General features: G+C 37.9%; 1 long non-coding RNA gene across 1 annotated transcript in view; it reads left to right on the top strand.

The window, feature by feature from the left end:
- The window catches only part of LINC02126 (long intergenic non-protein coding RNA 2126), a 34,818-nt gene extending 20,985 nt beyond the window's left edge, over positions 1-13,833 (top strand). Inside the window, exon 4 of the long non-coding RNA NR_110918.1 lies at positions 13,490-13,833. This is a non-coding gene — a long non-coding RNA (long intergenic non-protein coding RNA 2126). The remainder of the gene's footprint in view (positions 1-13,489) is intronic.
- Positions 13,834-22,239: the final 8,406 nt, after the last annotated feature.

The following is a 22,239-nucleotide window of genomic DNA, read 5'->3' as shown; positions in this document are numbered from 1 at the left end:
TAATGTAACCTACCTAATACAGGCTTCAAAGAAGTTACCTCCTCCATCCTGTCTCTGGAGGGAAGAAAAAGTTTAATGTTATTTAAAAATAAATATAGTAAAAAATAGATATTTAATGTATTCTATTATGACTTTATGTAGGCATTTAATTTATGATGTGCTTTACTATATTAATACAAATAGATTATATGCTCGTGTGTGATAAAACTAAAATCTATTGAACATCTATTATGTTTGTAAGCACTTTATACTTCATTATCTCCAACTGTCACATCAACCTTGAGATGTGATGTGGTGGGTTATACAAATAGTGATGAATTCTTCTCTATTCTGCACCATGCCTTGGCAATGGAAGATGGCAGGTCCTCCATATCATATAAGAGCTAGGAAATTCTTTTTTTAAAAAAGTTTCCTTCTTTTAAAAATGTGAAAATTAAATTTCAATGAAGAGAGATGTATCTAAAATTATTTATTGAAGATTCGAGAGAGAGCTAACATCAGAATGCAGGTACTCTCTACCTCAGTGTTAGCATAATAGACTACTTCAGAAGAAATAATTTTCTAGGCAAGTAAGTGTTGGGTTTGTGTTATTGCCTGCTCATCTATAACACCATTTATCTGATATTTCCCTGGGTCTACAATGTTAAATTGTTTCCACTTTGCACAAAAAATATTTTGAGCCAGTTTTATAATTGGTATCATCAGGGATTCAGCTGGAGGCGCACTTTATAATATGCAGACAAGAAGGGGTTCTATGTCACGAGGAAAGTGTGGAGTGGGAAAGTTAGAGTATTCGAGTGAATTCTCGGTTATAAGGGTTTCGAAGATGAGTATCTACGTGTGGAGTTATTAGGGTGAAAACCAACTCTACCAGACCAGAGATCATAGGGAGAAGGTAAAATCTAGTGGAGTTCTTTCAGGGCCAAAAAGGGTCAGCATAGTACATTTTATTTTAAAGGTCTTTATCTGTAAATGTAGGCACACAAGGAGCTGTTCTGGGTACTGACCTGGCCTGGCCATCCAGAGGTGGGAGATGTGTGACCTTCAGCTCTGCAGGGGCGAAGGGAATGCTGGAGGCTGTAGATTTGTAGTGGCATCAATTAAGAGATCACTACAGAGGATGACCTCATGCTGTGGAAATGCCCCAGACGAGGCTGCTCAATCAACCAAGAACTGAATGTGAGACTTAGCAACTAGAGAAAAGGCTGGAGGGAAGGAGGGGCGTCTATCCTCACATCTTACAGAGGGGAAAACAGTGCTTGTGAAAAATATAAGAGAATAGCAAAGACAGCCTGAAATCAACTACATGTATTGGACAACATATAAAACTGTTAACATTTTTTGGCATTGGCATAAAACTTACAATATTTGCATGACAGTGAAAAGAAGACAACAAAGAAACCTGTAACAACTAGTTGAGAAAAAGGTAGAGGTTTAGGGGAAAATATAAATGCCTTAAGTTTAAGAACAACATGGATAAGCACGTGTGTACATTGACATACAGGTGATCAAGAATGCTTGTGAGGATGCAGTTGGCCAGAGGGGTGGGAAAGGATTTCACAGTTAGGCCTGTGCTCTCTTAATTATTACCACTTACCTCTGCACCCTGTGTTGCTAAAATCACAGTTCATTCTAAATAAGCCACTAGGGGAGATCTGTGATATGATACAATGAAGAAAAAGGCATTTGCAGGAATCCTTTCTGCCCCCTGTGGTTCCACACTCTAATGAAGCTCACCCACATTCCTCAAGTAGAATCCTAATGAGTGAGGCTTTTTGACTCTCTCTTTGAACATTTTAAAGCTTTTCTGAAGTGTTTGAAAATTCATTATACTTTATTTGACTTCCCTTTATTGTACAGAAATAAGGAGTCCCTGATGGAATACTGGAATCAACATGTTTCAGAAATTGCACCCAGCAAGTGGGGGAGCACCTGTACAAAAAAATGATGCTCCCTGGAAGTCAGTTAAGCATTTATGTACACATTTATGTTCACACATGTGCAAACATGTGCATTCACACACTCACATGTGTTTCACTCATGACATGGTTACACATTTCCAGTTAAGCCAAGCCCATCACACCATAAAAATGAAGTCTACCCATTTTAAAATAAAGTATGCATGCAGCAAATTACATAGGGAAAAAAAAATCAAAAAGAAAGCAATTCAGAAGGGCAACAGAACAGAAAGTTGTAGTTAATTATGATTTATAAACTTATTAACTTGCTAAGCATTGTAACGAACCAAAGAACAAATTTAATTTTAAATAACATTAAAGTAGCAGTGTTGCCTAGATGAAAACATGAGCCAAGGAAATGTATTTAAAGACTGAGAAATCACATTTTTTAGGAAATAGCCCAAATGTCACCTTTTAATTCAGCTTTATTCATTTAACATGAATGCAAGTAGAACTAATAGAGAATAATAACAACTCAACATTTCCTAGATAATTGTTATTTAGTGAAATACTGTGTGTATTTTTTCCTCCTTTGACACAAGTTGTATATTATTTGCAAAAACAAATTGCCATGTCAGTTTATAGTTTTGAACCCTAATGTTCTCTGTGCACCTACTCTGTGCAAATTATAGTCTAATAATTTACATATTATGTATGTACAATTAGGCAGAAGAAGGCATCATATTCTCTAATTTGAAAGCAAAAGAAATTAAAATTATATAGACATGTTGGTATTTTGGAAATTATATGAAATAGGATGACAAAACTGTTATACTTAATTATATAATATATTTGAGTTGAATTATGTATTTGAACTTCCCTGGTTTTGCTCAGTAGCCTGTGAAACAAGAGAGATACTGTAGTAGGAAATAAGTCAACATGTATTTCATCAGGCACCTCCGGCTTGTCAGCGTTTTAGCACCCAGGTACTGATTTCATTCCGACACCAATCTCTTCAATTTTAATATGGACTGATGATCAGAGACAAAGGAGAACAATGGTGTGCCTCTCTATAGGTAAAAGTTTTAAGGAACTAAAACATTCACAACCCCCACTCTTTTGTCAATTATCAATAAGTTTCCACAGAGCACCTGGGTTTCTGGCTTATCTTATCTTTGTTTTCCTGAATTCCCCAGGCAGAGCTCATCTGTGCCTTTATCAAATCTCGCCCTTTTTTATATATAATAAAATTGTACATTTACAGTAGACCCTTGAACAACACAACGGGTTGGGGCGCCGAGCCCCACACAGTTGAAAATCCATGTATAACTTTTGACTTTCCCAAAATGTAACTGCTAATAGCCTACTATTGACTGGAAGCCTTACCAATAACATAAAAAGTCAATTAACAAATATTTTGTATGTTATATATATTATATACATATAGCAATATAGCAAGCTAGAGAAATAAAGCAAGCTAGAGAATAAAGCAAGCTAGAGAAAATAAAATATTATTAAGAAAATCAGAAGGAAGATAAAATATACTTACTATTCATTAAGTGGAAGTGAATGATCATGAAGATCTTCATGCTCATTATGTTCACATTGAGTAGGCTGAGGAGGAGGAGGAGGAGGAGGATTATGAGGAGATGATCTTGCTGTCTCAGAGGTGGTAGAGACAGAAGAAAAACCACGTCTAACTGGATTCTCACAGTTCAAACCCTATGTTGTTCAAGGGTCAAATGAGCACTTTAAATGTCTGCCGCAGTGTAAAGTGTTTTCCAGAGATTATTTAATCTCTCAAAACCATCAATTGAGATAGTATTAAGTCTATCTCACTGATAAAGAAATAGAGGAGCAGATAATTTACCACTATTCTCTATACAAGCGCAGTGGCTCAGGCCTGTACTCCCAGCACTTTGGGAGGCCAAGGTGTGTGGATCACCTGAGGTTGGGAGTTCGAGACCAGCCTGGCCAACATGGTGAAAATCCATCTCTACTAAAAGTACAAAAATTAGCTGGGCGTGCTGGTGTGTGCCTGTAATCCTAGCTACTTGAGAGGCTGAGGCAGGAAAATCGCTTAAATACAGGAGGCGGAGGTTGCAGTGAAGCGAAGCCAAGATCTCACTGCTGCACTCCAGCCTGGATGACAGAGCAAAACTCTGTCAAAAAAAAAAAAAAAAAAAAAAGCCTTTCTAAACTCATCAGGCCTAGTGAGTGGATCTAGGCATGGATCTCAGGCTTTCTGACTCTGTTGGGTGTTGTTGTCAAGTCTCATGCTGAGTACCATGAAACCCATTTGGTGGGTGGTCAGATGGCTATTGGGTGGGTTGGTTGGGTTGTTGGTTGTTGGGTTTGCATTACTTTTCCAATAAGTTGGAAGCCTCTTGAATGCAGGAATTACAATGTTTGTTTATTCTGGAAGCACTGATTGCCTACTACATGCTAGCCATTGTTCGGAGTAATTGGACTATTGCAAGGAAAAAAATACAAAAAAAAATACTGTGGTCTCTTGGAGCTTACTGTCTGGTAGAGGGAAAAAGACAAATACAGATTTACAAATAAATATATAATGTGCCTGGTGCTATTAAGTGCTGTGGGAAAAAATAACCCAGGAAGTGGAAAAGGAAGTCTTAAAGGTTAGGAGGCAGGGTAGCTATTTCATAAATGGTGGGTCAAGAAAGGCATCAAAATAAAGTGATACTAATCCCAGACAAAGGAGCAGTGATTGCCAAAGACATGAAACATGAGTGTATGATGTCCCTTGTGAAAGCAACACCAACAAGAGCAGAGCTGCTGAAGCCAGATGTGAGTGAGCACAGTTGTAGCAGGTGAGGTCAGAGAAGTAGCAGAACAGGGGGGTTTCCCATCAGGTAGAGCCTGAAGGCTATTTTAAGACCTTTGGTTTATGAATACAATACCTGGTATGGTTCCCATTCAGTAGATTTTTTATTTCATGTTTTTTTAAAAGAGAGACATGACTTTGACTTCTAACAGGTCATGCTTTGTCCTATTGATGTGGAATTATCATTAGGTAAATTATAGGGCTGGTGATGGATTCCTTAACTTCTGCAAAGCTGATTTAAAGTTTCATAAGTAAATTCATAACATTATAGAATATATTTCTTAATGACTTGATAAAACAATTAATTTTCAACCCAGATCAATAAAGTCCTTAACAAGTGTTGACCCCAGACAAATCCTATAGTATAGGAACATCATCCTGGACTATACTCAGGACTATAATTTTTAAATATAGCTTTTTACGGGATAATTTAAGCTGTTGTATGAGAATCAAGCTTTACATAATTAGCATTAGCTACTAGGGTACTCAGGAAAAAGTGAATCTCAGAGAGAGTGAGAGAGAGAGAGAAGGGGGAGAAGAGAGAGACAAAAAGGAGGAGAAGGATGTAGATAAAAAATCTAGCTGAGTCTACAGTTGGGATCAGGGAGAGATTCTGGGAAGGTTTTCCTTGATTTTAAAGAGACACAAAACAGAAATGTTCCCTTGATTCAGCCTCCAAAGAGTGTCAGTGGCATCTGTCAGGCTGCCTTATTTGGACAAGCTACGATTTTAGGGTGGCAAAATGTGAAGCTGGTGAAACAGCCCTTTGGGATGGTGTTGAGTCATTGAATTAACCTGTCTTGAACTTGAAACAGCAGGATTACAATTTAAACCATTTTAGATGGGTTTTCCCTTTGTTGCAACTGAAAACTGGCTAGGTAATAAAAATTCATGTAATTTAAGCTGCTGTATGAGGAAGATAAGTGATCTACCAAAAACTCAGTGAACCATGCTAGGAGTGGAGGGTACAAAGATGACCAAGTTCCTTAATCTGGCTGAACTTTAATTTACTTATTTGTAAAATTGTACTGCTAATAATGATTTTGTAATCTTGATATGGATATTGCTATTATTATTAACTTTGGACTTTGGAAACAAAAAAATCAGCAAAGGGATTTCTATTGTGGAAAAGTTCTATGTGGAAAAGTTCAATGATGCCTCTGGCCAATAGAGTAGTTCCAATATAAGATTTGCTAAATAGAGGGTGAGCCCTCTCTTAAGAATATTAACACTTAATGTGGATTTCTACAATTTAGATGAATTTTAAGTTTTTACCCTGACAGAGGCTAGGCTAGACCATTGTGCTGTCATGGAAAGAACAGACTTTGGAATCTGGAATCCAGAGGGCTCTGTGATTTATTTCTATGCAACTTGGGAAGAGAACATAATTCCTCTTAATTCACTGAGAAAATAGAAGCTATACCAAAAGTTCCACCTGCATCTATCACCAAATACAGCAAAGTTTCTGCATTCATGTCCACAAGCTGTGTCTTTTCCTCTCTTAGGATGAATGAACCCACATTGCTTCAAAGGCCCACTTCTGCAATGTGCCCTGGGCCCTCTCTCATCTAACCAAGGACATCTCTTTTGCTATCTTCTCTCTTTCCTGCATTATCAAGTTTCCCCTACTTACTTATTATTCCCATTATTATTCAAGGACATTGTAGGTGGGTGTGGTGGCTCATGCCTATCCCAAGTACACAGTGAGACATGATGGCATCACTGCACTCCAGCCTGGGTGACACAGCAAGACCCTGTTTCAAAAGAAATTGCAATATTTCCTACCTCCTATCTTATCAAAAGCTCTCTCTTTATTCCATAACTTCTTTAAACTATTGCCCAATATCTCTGTTTCCCTTTTCAGCAAAATTCCTTGATGTCTTCACTTCTCCCCTTTCTATTCTCTCTTGTACCAATTCCAATTAGCCTTTCAGTCTGATCTCTCCACTGAAACTACCCTCCCAGTTACCTGTGTTACCAAATACAGTGGTCACTACTTAGTTCTCATTGCAGATATTATTGTATCAGCAACAATTGACATAAACTCCCTTCATCTTTATATACTTGGCTTAGGGGACAATACTCAGTTTTCTTCCTACATCAATAGCCATCACTTTTCATTTTCCTTTTCTGGTTCCTCCTCGTCCTGCCAGCTCAAAATAGTGACATGCCCAGGACTGACTCTTGGACATTTTATCAACTACGTTTAATCCTTACGTTATTTCATTCAGCCCTCTGAATGTGGAACTCATATGTTTATCTGCTTATTTGACTAAACATCTCACAATTAATCCATCCCAAACCAAACTCCGGATTTCTTCCCATCCCACCCCTAAATCATTTCTTCTGCATTCTTCTCTTAGTAAATGGCAACTTCATCATCAGTTTCTCAGTGCACAAACTTGGGAATCGTGATTGAGTTTTCTTTTCATACGGCCTCTCTAATTTATAAGCAAATCCTTTCAGATTCATCTGTGAACTATTAAAAATCCAAACATCTCTTATTATTTTGCTGTTTTTTTCCCAAGTCTAAGTAAGCTACTGATATTTCTCACTTGTTTCTGAGTTGCTTATCCTGTTCCCAGTCTCTTTCCCCCAGCAGCCAGAATGGCCTTTGTAAGATAGACCATGCCACACCTTGGCTCAGAATCCTCCAGTAGTTTGTATCTCTTTCAGTAAAAAAGCCAGAGTCCTGGAAATTGTCTTCAAGTCTCACATGATTGTGCCACCACCAACCACCACTCCTCTGACCCCTTCTACTACTACCTTCCCCTTCCTCCTTTCATTCAAGCCACATTTGCTTCTGTTGTTCCTTGAAGCATGCAAACACCCAAGGCCTTTGCATCTGGTTCCTCTCTGCCTGAATGCTTGTCCCCACTAACCTGCCTTGCCAGCTCCCCCAATTCCGTCAGGCCTCTACTCAAATATCCTCTTTTCAGAGAAGCCTTCCTTGACCAACATGTACAAAATAACTCCTCCTCCATGGCACTGTATTCCCTTATCCTATTTAGTTTTCTCCAAAGGAGTTTAAACCAAGTAAAATGTTTATTTGTTTCTCATAGGTCCTTCCCCATCATATTATAAGCAGCACAAGAAAGTGGTTTGCTTGGTTTTATTCACTGCCACACTTAGAACTGCATCTGCCGTGTCATAGCCTTTCCATAAATATCTACTACATACATAAATAAATAAACAATGAATGTAATAATCATCTATAGTTATACAGACTATAACCACCAATGCTACATATGGTGGATTTCATATTCATTTCTATTTCCTTATCTTTTTCTACATAAACAAATACATTGTTTGATTTTTCTGTTCATTTGTCCTACAGAGTGGAGACCTTATAATATATTCCATTTCATATTCTAATTATTTAATTGAACACGAAAGCCAAACCATACTCACACATTATCTTGAACTATTCACAAACGAGTCTTTTAACAGTGGGGTAGCCTTTCTTCAAACAGATGAGTCAGACTTTCCTTACACATTTGCCCATTTTTTGAACAGTTAGTCTCTTTCCATTTTTAATTCACTCTTCTCATTAACAGCATGATAAGCTTATGTGCCAAATAATGCCTTACTATTTCAAATAATATTTGGAAGACAGGGTAAAACAATGGGGCTGAGGCGGGTGGTGAGTTCTCTGAGTGAGAGTTTTAAAATTGTTTATATATCTTCTAGAAAAATTAAACCTGCTTGTATTGCAACACTGGGTTTCTTAGCCAGCTTTTGCCTTTGATATGTATGCATTGCCTTGGTAAACTCTTTTCTTGTATTATTCATGAACTTATTTTTATTAATTCTTCACTCCCAGCCATTTCTAGAAATACATGCTTTCGTCCTATTTGGGATGCTCCAGAAATAGTGATTTAAAAAAAAGTTTTTATTGAAGGAGTTTTATAACCTATATAAGACGGTCAGTGAGACTCATGTCCTCTTTAATGTGGAAAATGCGTGAGGCGGGGTAAACAACCTAGCCTTTCCAGCCCATTCTGCTTCAGAAGAACATAACTGTTCTATCAATCTTTACATGCTGTGCTTGTTATCTACCTCATCAATTAACATGGACGTCCATACTGGGTATCACCATTGAAAAAATGGGTTGCATAATAGGTGATTTAAGCCTCACTTTGTCCTCATGTGATTGTAAGAGTCACCAAGTTGTCTTGGGAAGAACATGACCTTTGAGTTAATTGAGCATTAATTTAAATACCAGCTTTAACATAATAACTCTATGACCTTAGGCAGGTTACTGAGGGTGATGGTTAATATTGAGTGTGAACTTGATTGGATTGAAGAACACAAAGTATTGTTCCTGGGGTGTGTCTGTGAGGGTGTTGCCAAAGGAGATTAGCATTTGAGTCAGTGGACTGAGAGAAGTGGACCCAGCCTAAGTCTGGGTGGGCACCATCTAATCAGCTGCCAGCATAAAAGCAGGCATGGAAAGAGCAGACTGGTTGAGTCTTCTGGCCTCCATCTTGCTCCCATGCTGAATGCTTCCTGCCCTCAAACATCAGATTCCAAGTTGTTCAGCTTTTGGACTCTTGGGCTTACAGCAGTGATTTGCCACGGGCTCTCAGGCCTTCAGCCACAGACTGAAGGCTGCACTATCGGCTTTCCTACTTCTGAGGTTTTGGAACTCAGACTGGCTTCTTGGCTCCTCCGCTTGCAGATGGCCTATTGTGGAACTTCACCTTCTAATCATGTGAGTCAATTCTCCTAATAAACTCCCCTTGATTTATTCATCTGTCCTACTAGTTCTGTCCCTCTAGAGAACCCTGACTGATAACACTGCATCAGCTTGAACTTACCTTGTTCATCCCTAAGAAAAACAGAAAGAAGAGTAATGAATTTTATAGGGTTGTGGTCAAGACTGAGTGACAACTGACCAAGAACAGTATACAATGTTCCTGGAAAATTGTGGCAATAGTAGCTCTCTTTCCCTTCTTCAACCACCTGTACATTAGAGTCCTCTTTGCTAACGATTCCAGTTCATTTTTATTATTGTTTCACAGAACCTCCCTGAAGAAAGATTATACAGATGTACCTTGTTGAACTCAAGGGGCCATTTCATTTGCCAATGAAATGTGGGCCAAGTGGTGTGTCACTTCTGAGCAGAAGCAGCCTGGTCCATCACAGGTCTTTGTAATCTTGGTCATGACAACCAGAGGACAGGCACTCTATTAGCATGAGTCCCAGAGTGAAGATGACAGAACACACTGCTATAGCTGTGCAGCAGATGTGTAACATGAGAGAGCAATAACACTCAATTTTTTCAGTCACTAGGATTTGCAGGATGTTTATTATCACTGCTTAATCCAGCCTATCCTGATTGATATTCACTATCCACTTCTCTCCCACCACCAAGAAAACAGTATCCAGTGTGTCCCAGTGAAAGAAAACATTAAAAAAAATCTTCCCTAGAATTAATTATGGCCAAGTATCTTTGTGAGTTGTTAAAATTATTCATGGATGCTATCTGCCCTTAAAGAGATCTTATTTATTATTTCAGCATATGTTGACATATATTATCTCTGTTCCACTCACGCAAGATATTTTGTGACCCAGAAACATGAAGGAGATGTCACAAAGTGTCCTTCTGCAAAAAGGGTGTGGAGAGAAGAGAGAATTTTCTCATTGTAACCACATCATATTCTACATATGTCCCAAAGTGATGGGCTTGCTGCAGCATCTGTTATTGTAGAAGGACAAAAAGCAATTCCACAAGCTATTTTAGTTTTCCTAATGGAAAAACTAGATGCTGCAGATGAAAGAGTTATTAGAAAAATAATCTTAGCTTTTCTAAAAAAGCATCCAAAATGTGCTGCAGGTCGTGGGCAGCCCGTCAGCACTGTGAAGCTGTACATTAACAGACAGGATTTCTAACCAAAATATATCTTACATTTAAAGATCTTTCCCCCAGAAAGTCTCCGAAGGAGAAGAAGAAGAGCCAGAAAAGACACCTGAAGTTGAGTGAACATATTTCAGCCTCCTTTTCAATGCAGCCTGTTCCAAGGACAGGTAGAAGCCTGGAGACCAGAGTTCACCCAGGTTACTCCTCCAACCTGTGTTTTCTCCCCTCCCTTTCCTGGCCTTCTGCTTCTTTGGCACCCTTTTCCAATTCTGCTTTTGATGATGTGCACCTCTGTCCTTGACTCTTGCCATTTCTCCTTTTTCTCAAATTTTAATTTAAAAAATTAATGGTGATAAAATACACGTAACAGAACATTTACCATCTTAACCACTTTGAAGTGTATATATCAGTAGTATTTAGTATGTTCGTATCGTTGTGAAAACTGAAACTCTATACCCTTTAAACAACAAGTCCCTCTTTCCCTTTCTTCCAGTCCCTGGCAACTACCATGCATATTTGTCATTTCTATGAGTTTCATTATACTTGATACTTCATATAAATGAAATCATACAGTATTTGTCTTTTTAGTGACTAGCTTATTTCATTTTGCATAATGTCTTCAAGGTTCATCCATGTTGTAGCACGTGTCACAATTTCCTTCCTTTTTAAGGCTGAACAATATGCCATTGTGTGTACACACCACGTTGTGTATATTCATTCATCTGTGGATAGACATTTGGGTTGCTCCCACCTTTTAACTATTGTGAATAGGGCTGCTATGAACATGGTTGTGCCATTTCCTCCCAATACTATGCTGACTTTGTGCAGAACTCAGCCCTAGATAAAATGAGTTTGCTCTTCCATCCCCAGTTACATTTGAACAGGGATCAAGTAGCAAATCTGGAACTGGAGGGAGGTGATGAGGTGCTCGCTCAGTCGTAACATTGAAGGGGCCCCAAAACACTCAGAAATCAAGGCAAGTGATATTTCAATGCACCATTTTATTTTAACATATCAAAACCTAATGCAAAAATTCATGATGAACAAAATATCAAGATTTTAAAATAAGGGAAGAGTAACAGTATTGTTCAGAACCATATGGGAGCAAAAAAAAAATCAGCAATACTCATCTTGCCTTTATTTAAAATTTGCTGTTTTGTTCATCATGGCATTTGGCATTTTTATTTTTAAAATAGTTTTACTTTCCTTATCTTAAAATATTGCATTAAAATATGATTTATCTTGTTTACTGAGCTTTTTGCTGCCTCCTTAAATAGTGCAACTCCTACAAGTGCTTCACTTTGCTCTCCTCAGTTCCAGTCCTGTCAAACAAATTAGAGTTTTGTGCTTATGGTGGCCATTGGCTTTATACAATCAGATCAGACCAAGACATTGTTTCTTTGTTATTATCTTTCTAAACCTAAGAAGCAAGGAGACTTCCATAGCTTAAGCTCTCTCATCAATTCTGCACATGATTTGCCAAATATATCATTCTTTGGAACACACTTTTTTGTGTGAAAATAAGTTGTTCATGGCCAAATTAGTTTTGTAGGTAATCAGTAGAACGGAGTTAAACAGACATTACTTTAGGATGTCTAAAAACATATTCTGGATGTGCTAATGTATAGTGAGGTGCCAATATATGTTGTCAGTGTCTAAGATAGGTAGAGCCTGAAGTATATTCGTATTTGAGCAAGAAAGTATCTTTTCAAGGGCAATATACCTTAAATAATTATTCCAGACTAGCATTCCATGCAAGACATCCTGAGAAATGCCTAGACAGTGTTGGAAAAGAGATCTCAATAAACGTTCTTGGAGAAGATGCACACAGCTTGTGAAGAGGTAAATTAATAATAGGTGTGCTGACACAACCTAAAAAAATGGTGTCACAACAGAAAGTTGAAAATAGCTCACTTGCCACTCTGGGGGAAGAAAGTTTACGTTTAATGATTTAACATACTCCTGTTGTTAGACAACACACAGCTTCATGTAGTATAGAGTAGGAGAGATGTGAGTTATTGTTCACCAGTCTTTTAAAGCTTCTATGCTTTCATTGACAGAAAAATACCATTTTGCTAATTTCATTTTGACTTTCATAAAATCATCATTTAGAGTTGAAAGATACGGTCAAAACTGGCTTTACAAGAAGGTGGGGAAATGAATTGAAATTGATTGATTTGAAGGCATAGAAAAAGCCTTCTCTCTCAGCATATACTGGTGAAATCCATTACTCTGGGAGAGGTGAGGCAGAGGAGCTTCTTTTTATTAGTTATTGGCAGGTCAGCAGACTTAAAGACATCCCTTTGTAAAAAGCAGACAAAGTTTATTGGTTGCTCTCCATAGGTAAGACCCTGTGGTAAGCACTTAATGTAGATTATCATTTTTAATACTTATGACAGTCCCATGAGGTAGAAGATATAATTACTCCCATTTTGCTCAAGAGGAGATTAGTTCAGTGAGGTTAAGTCACTTACCAAACTCACATACCTAGTAAATGACGAAGCTTGGATCTAAGACCAAGCAAACTGACTCCATAGTCAACTCATAACCACTAGAGGCTAGAAGCTTAAAACATTTGCCTTCTAATGTACCAGTAGGTGTTATGGCGGCATCCAATTGACAGTAAATTCGGTGGAAATGCAAAGCATTCTGGCTAGGGCTAATTTACAGTATGTTAACTCAAGGGAATTAAAGAACAACCAACAGAAGGGGTAGCAGGACCATCAGATCCTCATCAATATAATAGTTTCATGCTTTTCATGGAAATATTACATCATGCTAGTCAAAGAGAAAACAAAGAAAAGCATTTCATGGTGATTTGGAGATGTCAGAGCGGTATTACTTTCTACAAAACCAGAAAATGTAAATCTATCTGTGTCACAGGTGATCCACAAACATCCGAGAAGGAAAGAAACTTAGAGGTAAATGATTCAATGATTCTTAAAACCTGACTGTGGCACTCTTCTCCAAATACCTCTGTTCTCCTCCATATTTCTCAGCCCCTTTGAAGAGGCAGGCCCATGGGATGAATTCTGACCAATGGATTTGGCTAAGATTTAAGAGCCAGTGCACCATCCTTCAGCTAACTCTTCTCTCCACCTGCTGCAAGGACATAAACATTTCAATGGCACAAAGATAGAGCACCTTGAATTGTTACTGCAAAGAAGACATCTTTTCTGGAGAGTCACCCAAGCAGTGGATTTGTGAATAAATAAATCTTGTGTTAAGGTTCTGATATTTTGTGGTTAATTTGTGACCATAGTACTACATAGCCTATTCTAATGAATATGTAGTGACTATCAGAATCACTAGAGAACATACAAACATAATTCATATTATAGGTCAAAACTTCAGTCTACTAGCTTAAAATTTTAAGCATGGAGAGGATATCTCTATGCTTACAAAGCTAAGATAGTCTAATAATTAGCAAATATGAAAAACACTGTTAGATGTCAGCTAGTTCCATTTAGCCTTTCAATCTGTTCCAAACTCTACTTTTATACATATAAAAATCAAAAGAAAGCCAATAGATGTGGAAGCTAAGCCTTGGGAATCCTAATATAGCATGATGAGGATTGTGAGTTTGACAATTAGCTGTGCTATTTATTACTGGTGTAACTTTGGGCAAATTATTTAACCTTTCTTAGTCCATTGTTATGTATTAGGAAATTAGAGCTATAAATAGTGTCTACTTCTAGGTAATGGGACTGTTCTCTGTCTTGATTAGATATCAGATACACAAATGTATACATTTGCAGAAATTTATGAAATTATATAGATAGAGTATGTGTGTCTCACTGAATATAAGTTTAACTCAATAATGATTATAATAATAGCTAATAATAAAATATTACCTACTTTGCAAAGGTCTTGTAAGGATTGAATCAGTAACCATGGAGAACATTTGTATGATGTCTGACACAAAGAAAGCCCTTAGAAAATAGTAGCTATTATTATATTTATATTATGTACTACATATTATTTATTACATATAATTATCAGAATATCCTCCAAGGTTACATATAAGTAAATCCATAGTAGATTTGGAAAGCTGGGAAGAGAACTCAAATTATTTTAGATTGTGAGTTGTGTTTTCGAGATGTGTTTCTTTATGTTTGGAGTGCATAAATTCTCTTTAGTCAAAGAACTTCAAAGAACAAATTTCATACTTACTCTGAGTTTCTTACAGAATGTTGTGGATTCATACCCCAGCTTGCCCATGATTCATAATTTTACAAAATGTTGCATGCTCTAACACACAGTATATACTTTGTTATGCTTTTGCTATGATTAATCAAGCAAAAAATGAGTATTATATTTCCTAATGACAACTTTGTGCCTGCAAAGAAAAACCTTGCCAAAATGTTAATATATCTATATGGTCGTCTGCATCGCAATGCACAATACTTAATTCTAATTTCAAGCTTTAATTGCTATAGGCCATAGTAATAAAGAATTTTTCTTTTCTAAAAAAAAAGACACTTTCAGTAGATTTTCTCTGTAAGAAATGCAACATAGTGTAATGATATATGACACACAAAGCACAACTGAATAAAGAAAACAAAGCATTACAAATGTGTTTAGAGAGAGACAGATTAAGTTGCTACAAATTTTAATTCACTGGAACCCAAGAAGAGGCATGCAACAATAATAGACTTTAAGAACAGGGCAAAAGCTTTTGTCATTAAAAAAAAAATGCATGAAGTGTTCATATAGATTCTTTCATCAAAAGGACCCCAGGAAATATTCAAGTGTTTATTTAGCTTCTATTTTGTCCCTTGTTTTGTGACTGAAATTATAGGAATACAAACAATGAGAAAAGCAAGATATTTTTTCTAGTAGATTTACACTTTGTGTTGGCTATGTTGTCCAGAACTGGGGTTTTAATAAGTTGCTGGTCTCTTGACTCCAGAACTCAGAGCAACAACAATAAGAAGAGGCAGCTCTGAGATTAAAAACCATAAAATAAAATAAAATAAAATAAAATAAAATAAAAAAATAAAACAAGTGATAAATACGTAAAATCATCTAAAAGAGATAAATGACTTCTTGGCAACAGCAAGATTTAGCTAGAGCAATGCCGCTTGCATTAATATATTTGAAGAAAAGTGTGGCTATCAAAAGAGAGGAGCAGATGATAAGAGAAACAGATTTACAAGTGTCCTAGCAAGGTATGGGGGAAAGGAGAGGCTAGACGTGCTCTATGGCCCTCTCTCCTGTGACAGGCCTAGACCTATTGTAGGAATAATACAGAGGTCATCAGGCTTAGAGCCTTGACCATCTGAATTACTGCTGAGCTCTCCTTCTTTGTTTGTGAGATTCCCCCAAAACTGCCATGCTCTCTTCATGCAATTCCCAACACACACACACACACACACACACACACACACACACACACACACCCCTCATTGTTACCAACTTGATGATCTTGTTTAGTTTCTTATGAGTAGTCCGTATCACTCGGCTTTCCTGTAAGAAGATAGTAAACACACGTCGAGCTTCTACAATTTCCATACAGTTTATAATTTCTTTTTGTTTAAGTATCTTAACAACCCCCCCAAATTAGACATCAGTATCCCATAATCATATGAAACCCAAATATTCTCTTTTCTTTCAGCTGGTAAGCTGCAGGAAAAGTACCTGCGTTCACCTGTGGTAACTCAGATTCATAACTCAGCCCTTTTTTAACATTCTATCACCCAAAATCAATCCAGTGTCACAAAAGAATTATCAAACATGATAAAATTACTGAAAGCGTATGCCAGAAAAATAGAGATCTTATATTACCTCATAGAGATAGGTACCATTAGACATTCCCCTTTTCCACAATTGCTTCCTGGCTTTAATGCCAGTGACGGCACCTGGAGTTGTGCACTGTAACGGCCTAATACAGTTTAGCTCTACCTTGACTCTGACTTCCAATTTTATTTTATTATTATTATTTTTTGAGATGTAGTCTCACTCTGTCGCCCAGGCTGGAGTGCAGTGGTGCGATCTCTGCTCACTGCAAGCTCTGCCTCCCAGGTTCACGCCATTCTCCTGCCTCAGCCTCCTGAGTAGCTGGGACTATAGGTGCCCGCCGCCACCACGCCTGGCTAATTTTTTGTATTTTTAGTAGAAACACGGTTTTACCGTGTTAGCCAGGATGGTCTCGATCTCCTGACCTCATGATCCGCCTGCCTCAGCCTCCCAAAGTGCTGGGATTACAGGAGTGAGCCACCATGCCTGGTCCCAATTTTTCATCTTCTGGCCCAGCAAAGTACTCAGTCAAACAAAACATTCTCCTGGAGCTCTGGTTTCCTTGAGAAAGAAATCTGGGAGCCATCTTTTTCCGCTGAAGTTTTTTCTTGATGGTCACCATCCATTCTGCATAGTATTTATTTCTTCCAAACACTCTCAGGGTTCCTCTTAGGAGGAATTCTGTTGAGTGATTGCCCTCATTGCCTTACAAGTAGGTGGAGCAGAAAGCTTCTGTTTTGTCCAGATTGTCTCCACTTAACATTGAGACGACTCAAACGTTAGGAAAATATAATTAATGTTCGAATCAATAATCATTTCTAGGACTCAGACAAGAGTGAATTCTTGGTCTTGCAAAGATGAAGATTAGATATTGGAATTCACTATGCTCTTCAAAGTTATGTTAGTCTGTAATAGGCCTGAAGAACCCTCAGTTGGCATTTCCCTAGATACTGCAACCCATGTGCATTTCTGTCCACCTACACAGGAAAGAAAAGCAGGCACAGAAAAACAGAAAATCCAGTAGTATTGATAGCACATGATTCAGGATCTGATGTTGTGGTGCAGAGGATAGCTTCTACAGAAGCTTGAGAAGAAACCTCAGGAACCAGCGAATTCAGTAAAGGCTTCATAGTAGTGGTAGGTCTTAAAGAAAGAAAGAGGGAGAAAGTATGTCATGTAAAGAAAGCATCTTATACAAAAAAATCTAGGTGCATCTTATATAAAAAACTATGCTTTCCATACATTTTTATTTACTACTGAGGCTGGCATGTTATGTAAATCATCCAACTTGGATGAGACTATCTCTATCAAAATTGCTTAGAATCATTTGCTTTCAGATACATGTTTAATTTCATTATTCTTGATGTCCTGATGATATCCCAAAATCACCTCACCATTTTTGATTTTGCAATTCCTTTTCATGTTCTTCAACTTACCATACCTAAGTCCCTCTTGATTTCTCCTTTTGAGATGTGTATGAGCCATACATATAAATTGATCTCTTCTCATGCAATTGTGAAGTAGTAGCTCTTCCTATGAAGGATGAAACAACCTCAGGAAGAATGAGATCAACAAAGAAAGAATCAAACTAGTGAATCTGTCATCAATAATTGCAAACTATATAATCAGTAATGTATAGCTTGATATATAAAAAATTAGAATATTTCAGTAACTGAGTCTCATATTTTCCCAAAATAAATCTGACTTAAGCCTAGGATTATCTATTATATGTCCTCTCCTCTCATCTCCTCTCCTCTCCTCTCCTCTCTTCCTACCCTCTCTTCCTATGGCTCTGTAAAACAGAAAGAGAACTGATTTTGTGGCCAGACACACATAGATCTGAGTGTTACTATCTGGCTAACCATGAGTAGATGGCTTCACCTCCTAGAGCCTCAGTTCCCTGAAACTGCAAAAAGAGATCGATGACACCAACCACTCAGAATTGCTGTGCAGGTTAAATGACATGGTATATGCAAAATGCAAACTAGCAGAGGGAATATGTACCTAGTATACAGTAGCTGCCCTGCAAACATTATTTATCATATGACCATTAATAGTAATTATAGTAGCATTGGCAGTGATAGTCATAGTAGTTTTAACATTAGTAGAAATAAACTTTTTTTCCAAGGCATATGTCATTTTAACTAGACTTGTTACAATTTCCACTAAAATGTATACATAAAAGAGATCATGGTGGTCCTGTAATACCCTCTCTTACTCAAAGCAGAAGTATCCTGTGAAATATGATACTACCTAGTAAATGGACATATAGTCTGAGTTTCCATGCTGGAAGGGAGCCAAAGCTTTCTATTCCCAGGAGCACAAGATCTAGCGGCATAGACCTTTCTTGCCAGAAATCCTTCCTTGGGCTGAGCAACATTCTCCCTCCCTGAAGCTCCCATCCATTAGTCTCAGTTTTGCACCTCCTGGGTCAAGCAAAATGAATCTAATCGCTCTTGTTCATGACAGCTGTTTAGATATTTGAACAAAGGGTATTCTCTTCTGCAAACTGTCCATCCTCAAATTATCTCATCATGTGGCTCACATTCCAGGACCTTAAATGTCTTGAATGTCAATATGACACCAGGACTAAAAACTCTCGCATAGACCATGACAGGGCACAGAGAGCATAGAGCCACCTATGATCTGCATTGTGTGTTTATCAATGCAGCTACGTAAGTGTCCAATTTATTAGTGTTGAAAGTTATTAAGTATATGAATCAATAAAGTATCTAGATCCATGATGTATATTTGTGTTTATACATATAAGTTGTATATGTATATGTGTTTATGTAGGTATTTCTTTATCTCTCTTTCCTCTGCAAAAAAAAGATCCTTGTCAATAGTTTCTTTTTTTTTTTTTTTCAGATGGAGTTTCTCTCTATCACCCAGGCTGGAGTGCAGTGGGGCGATCTCGGCTCACTGCAACCTCCCCTTCCCGGGTTCGAATGATTCTTCCACCTCAGCCTCTCAAGTAGCTGGGATTACAGGCACCCACCTTCATGCCTGGCTAATTTTTGTATTTTTGTAGAGATGGGGGTTTCACCATCATGGCCAGGCTGGTCTTGAATTCTTGACCTCAGGTGATCCACCTGTCTCGGCCTCCCAAACTGCTGGTATTACAGGCGAGAGCCACCATTCCAGGCCAATAGTTTCTATTCAACATGTGTATTATGAGAATTAAATAAGTCTACATGTAAACTGCTTAGAATGATGCCTATCCCATGTAGGCACTAAATAAATGTTAGCAATTATTCTTATTTTATTCTTACATGCACTAACAGTCTATTTGCTAAGGGATGTGATAATGTATTAGGGTTCTCTAGAGCGACAGGACTAATAGGGTGATGTATATATGAAAGAGAGTTTATTAAGGAGTATTGACTCACATGACCACAAGACGAAGTCCCACAAAAGGCCGTCTGCAAACTGAGGAGCCAGGAAGCAAGTCCGAGTCCCAAAACCTCAAAAGTAGGGATGAAGCCGATAGTGCAGCCTTTAGTTTGTGGACAAAGGCCAAGAGCCCTGGGCAAATCACCGGTGTTAAGTCTAAGAGTCGAAAAGCTAAAGAACTTGGAGTCTGATGTTCAAGGGCAAGAAGCATCCAGCATGGGGAAAAGATGGAGGCCAGAAGACTTAGCCAGTTTAGGCTTTCCGCATTCTTCTGCCTGCTTTTATTCTGACTGAACTGGCAGCTGATTAGATTGTGCCCACCCAGATTGAGGGTGGGTCTGCCTTTCCCAGTCCACTGACTGAAATGCTCATCTTCTTTGGCAACACCCTCACAGACACACCCAGGATCAATATTTTGTTTCTTTCAATTCAATCAACTTGATACTCAATATTAACTATCACAGATAGGTTCTGCGGATTTAATGACGTATAAAATATGGCTTCCACCCTTAAAGAAATAAGAGTCTTTGAGAAAAAAAAATGAAGATGGGTCAAGTACGCTCTCAGAATTGGGCACAGAGTGCACAGGACACAAAGCAAGGATACTAATTCCCTACTGGTGATGAGGGGAGGGAGAAACAAGGAGTGCTAGGAAAATATGTCTGGAGGATAGGACACGTGAGCATGGAGTTTTTTTCTTTTTTAGCTGTTGCCTATCTGTATTTATATTTCCATGTATGACTAAATACATACATATGAAGTTACATTAATAAATCCCTTAGTACAAGTTACTATATGAATAATGTACAAAAGAAGTAAAATTAGATTTTTTAAAATTTTTATTTTTGTTATTATACTTTAATTTCTGGGGTACATGTGTAGAACGTGAAGGTTTGTTACATAGGTATACATGTGCCATGGTGGTTTGCTGCACCCATCAACCTGTCATCTACATTAGGTATTTCACCTAAGAGCATGGCATTTTTGAAAAATAAACTGGAAATAGACAGAACATGAAGGAGGAAGCTTGTTTTAAGCAGGGAGAAGAGTGTATGCGAAGATGGTGATGCTCCAGCATGTGGACATTTGGAGACAGGCAGTTTGATAGATTTTCATACAATTGGCTTCAGGAAATAGATACATTATAAGACATTAAACATCTATTTTATGGGATGTCATCATTTCATCAGATTGGATGCTTGTCAGTTTACATTTGGGAAATGCCAGAGCACACTGAAATGAGAAAGCTCCGTCTGGACACCTAAACTTCATAATGTCTAAGATGTGTGAACGTGGCCATACAGCTTCTCATCTAGCATAGGAATTTCTCCACTTGCAAAATTGGTGTAATGATACGGACCGTCACCTGTGGGGAGGCACCTCCCTTCTAGTAACTGATCAGCATGCTGCTAATCCTACTGCTACTGATGTTTTCTATTTATGACATGATATTTAAAGCAGATATTGGCCAAATACAATATTCAGGTGTTCTAGAAACCACATTGTTAATAAAATAAAAATTAAAGGTGTTTATCATGAAAAATCATTACTGGGTGCTGGGCATGAGGATGAGGAATAGGGGTAGGAGTTAAGGGATGAAGAGAACTGACTGCTATTTTCAGCTGCCTTTCTGCTTTGAAACCACACCTCCTTTTAAGTGATGGTCTGGCTAAATTTCTCTATTCTACCAGAATCTTCTGTAAATATGCAAACTTTTAGCTTAAAAAATAGTCCCACTTTATTTTATACATCTGCTACATCCAAAACAGTTTTATCTGATGATTGATTATTTTGTAGCACATCTTCCAATGTTTGCTTCTGTGACTCATCTGACTTAAAGAAATTAGACTGTCTGGGTGCATTTTCCCCCTTTCTTTGATGTAAGCAAAGCTAGAGGAGCCGAGCCATTCAGACTGTAAATACACATGGTAAATTTTGCTTCTTTTGCTAAACACTTCTAGTCAATCAAGAATTGCTTATACTAAAGACTGAACGATGGCTGTGTATCCCAGAGTAGAGAACTAGTAATGCAATTTGGGCCACTTAATGGTTTCTTCTTTAACTCTATTTTTCCTTTACATTCTAAAATAATATCTTTTTTGAGGAGCTGGCATGACATATGGGATTTTTCCTTCTTCTGTTCCTCTGTCTTCCTTACCTCTTCCAGCATTCTTCCTTTCAACATGCCCTTTGGCAGTAAAGGCTAGCAGAAATTTATTGAATACCTGCTGTATGCCGTTTGCTTGGGACACATTAATGAAGTGTCTATAATGATTGGCCTCTAGATGTCTCTTGCAGAGATGGGGTGAGACGACAGCATAGGGAAGAATACACTAAGGCAAGATAAAATTACAGACATGATTCTCTGGGAAGGGACAAGGGCAGGAGATATTTTTCTGAAGTGTATGATCCCTTAGCTCCACTTTGAGAGATGAAAGATAACAAGGGGTAGCAGGGAGAACACAGGGAGGAGGAGAAAATAATTCACTTACTATATTTAC

Source organism: Homo sapiens, chromosome 16, assembly GCF_000001405.40.
Source record: "Homo sapiens chromosome 16, GRCh38.p14 Primary Assembly".
In the NCBI taxonomy this organism is placed as follows: Eukaryota; Metazoa; Chordata; class Mammalia; order Primates; family Hominidae; genus Homo; species Homo sapiens.
The sequence above is the reverse complement of the archived record's forward strand: the minus strand, read 5'-3'. Positions and strand labels throughout refer to the sequence as shown.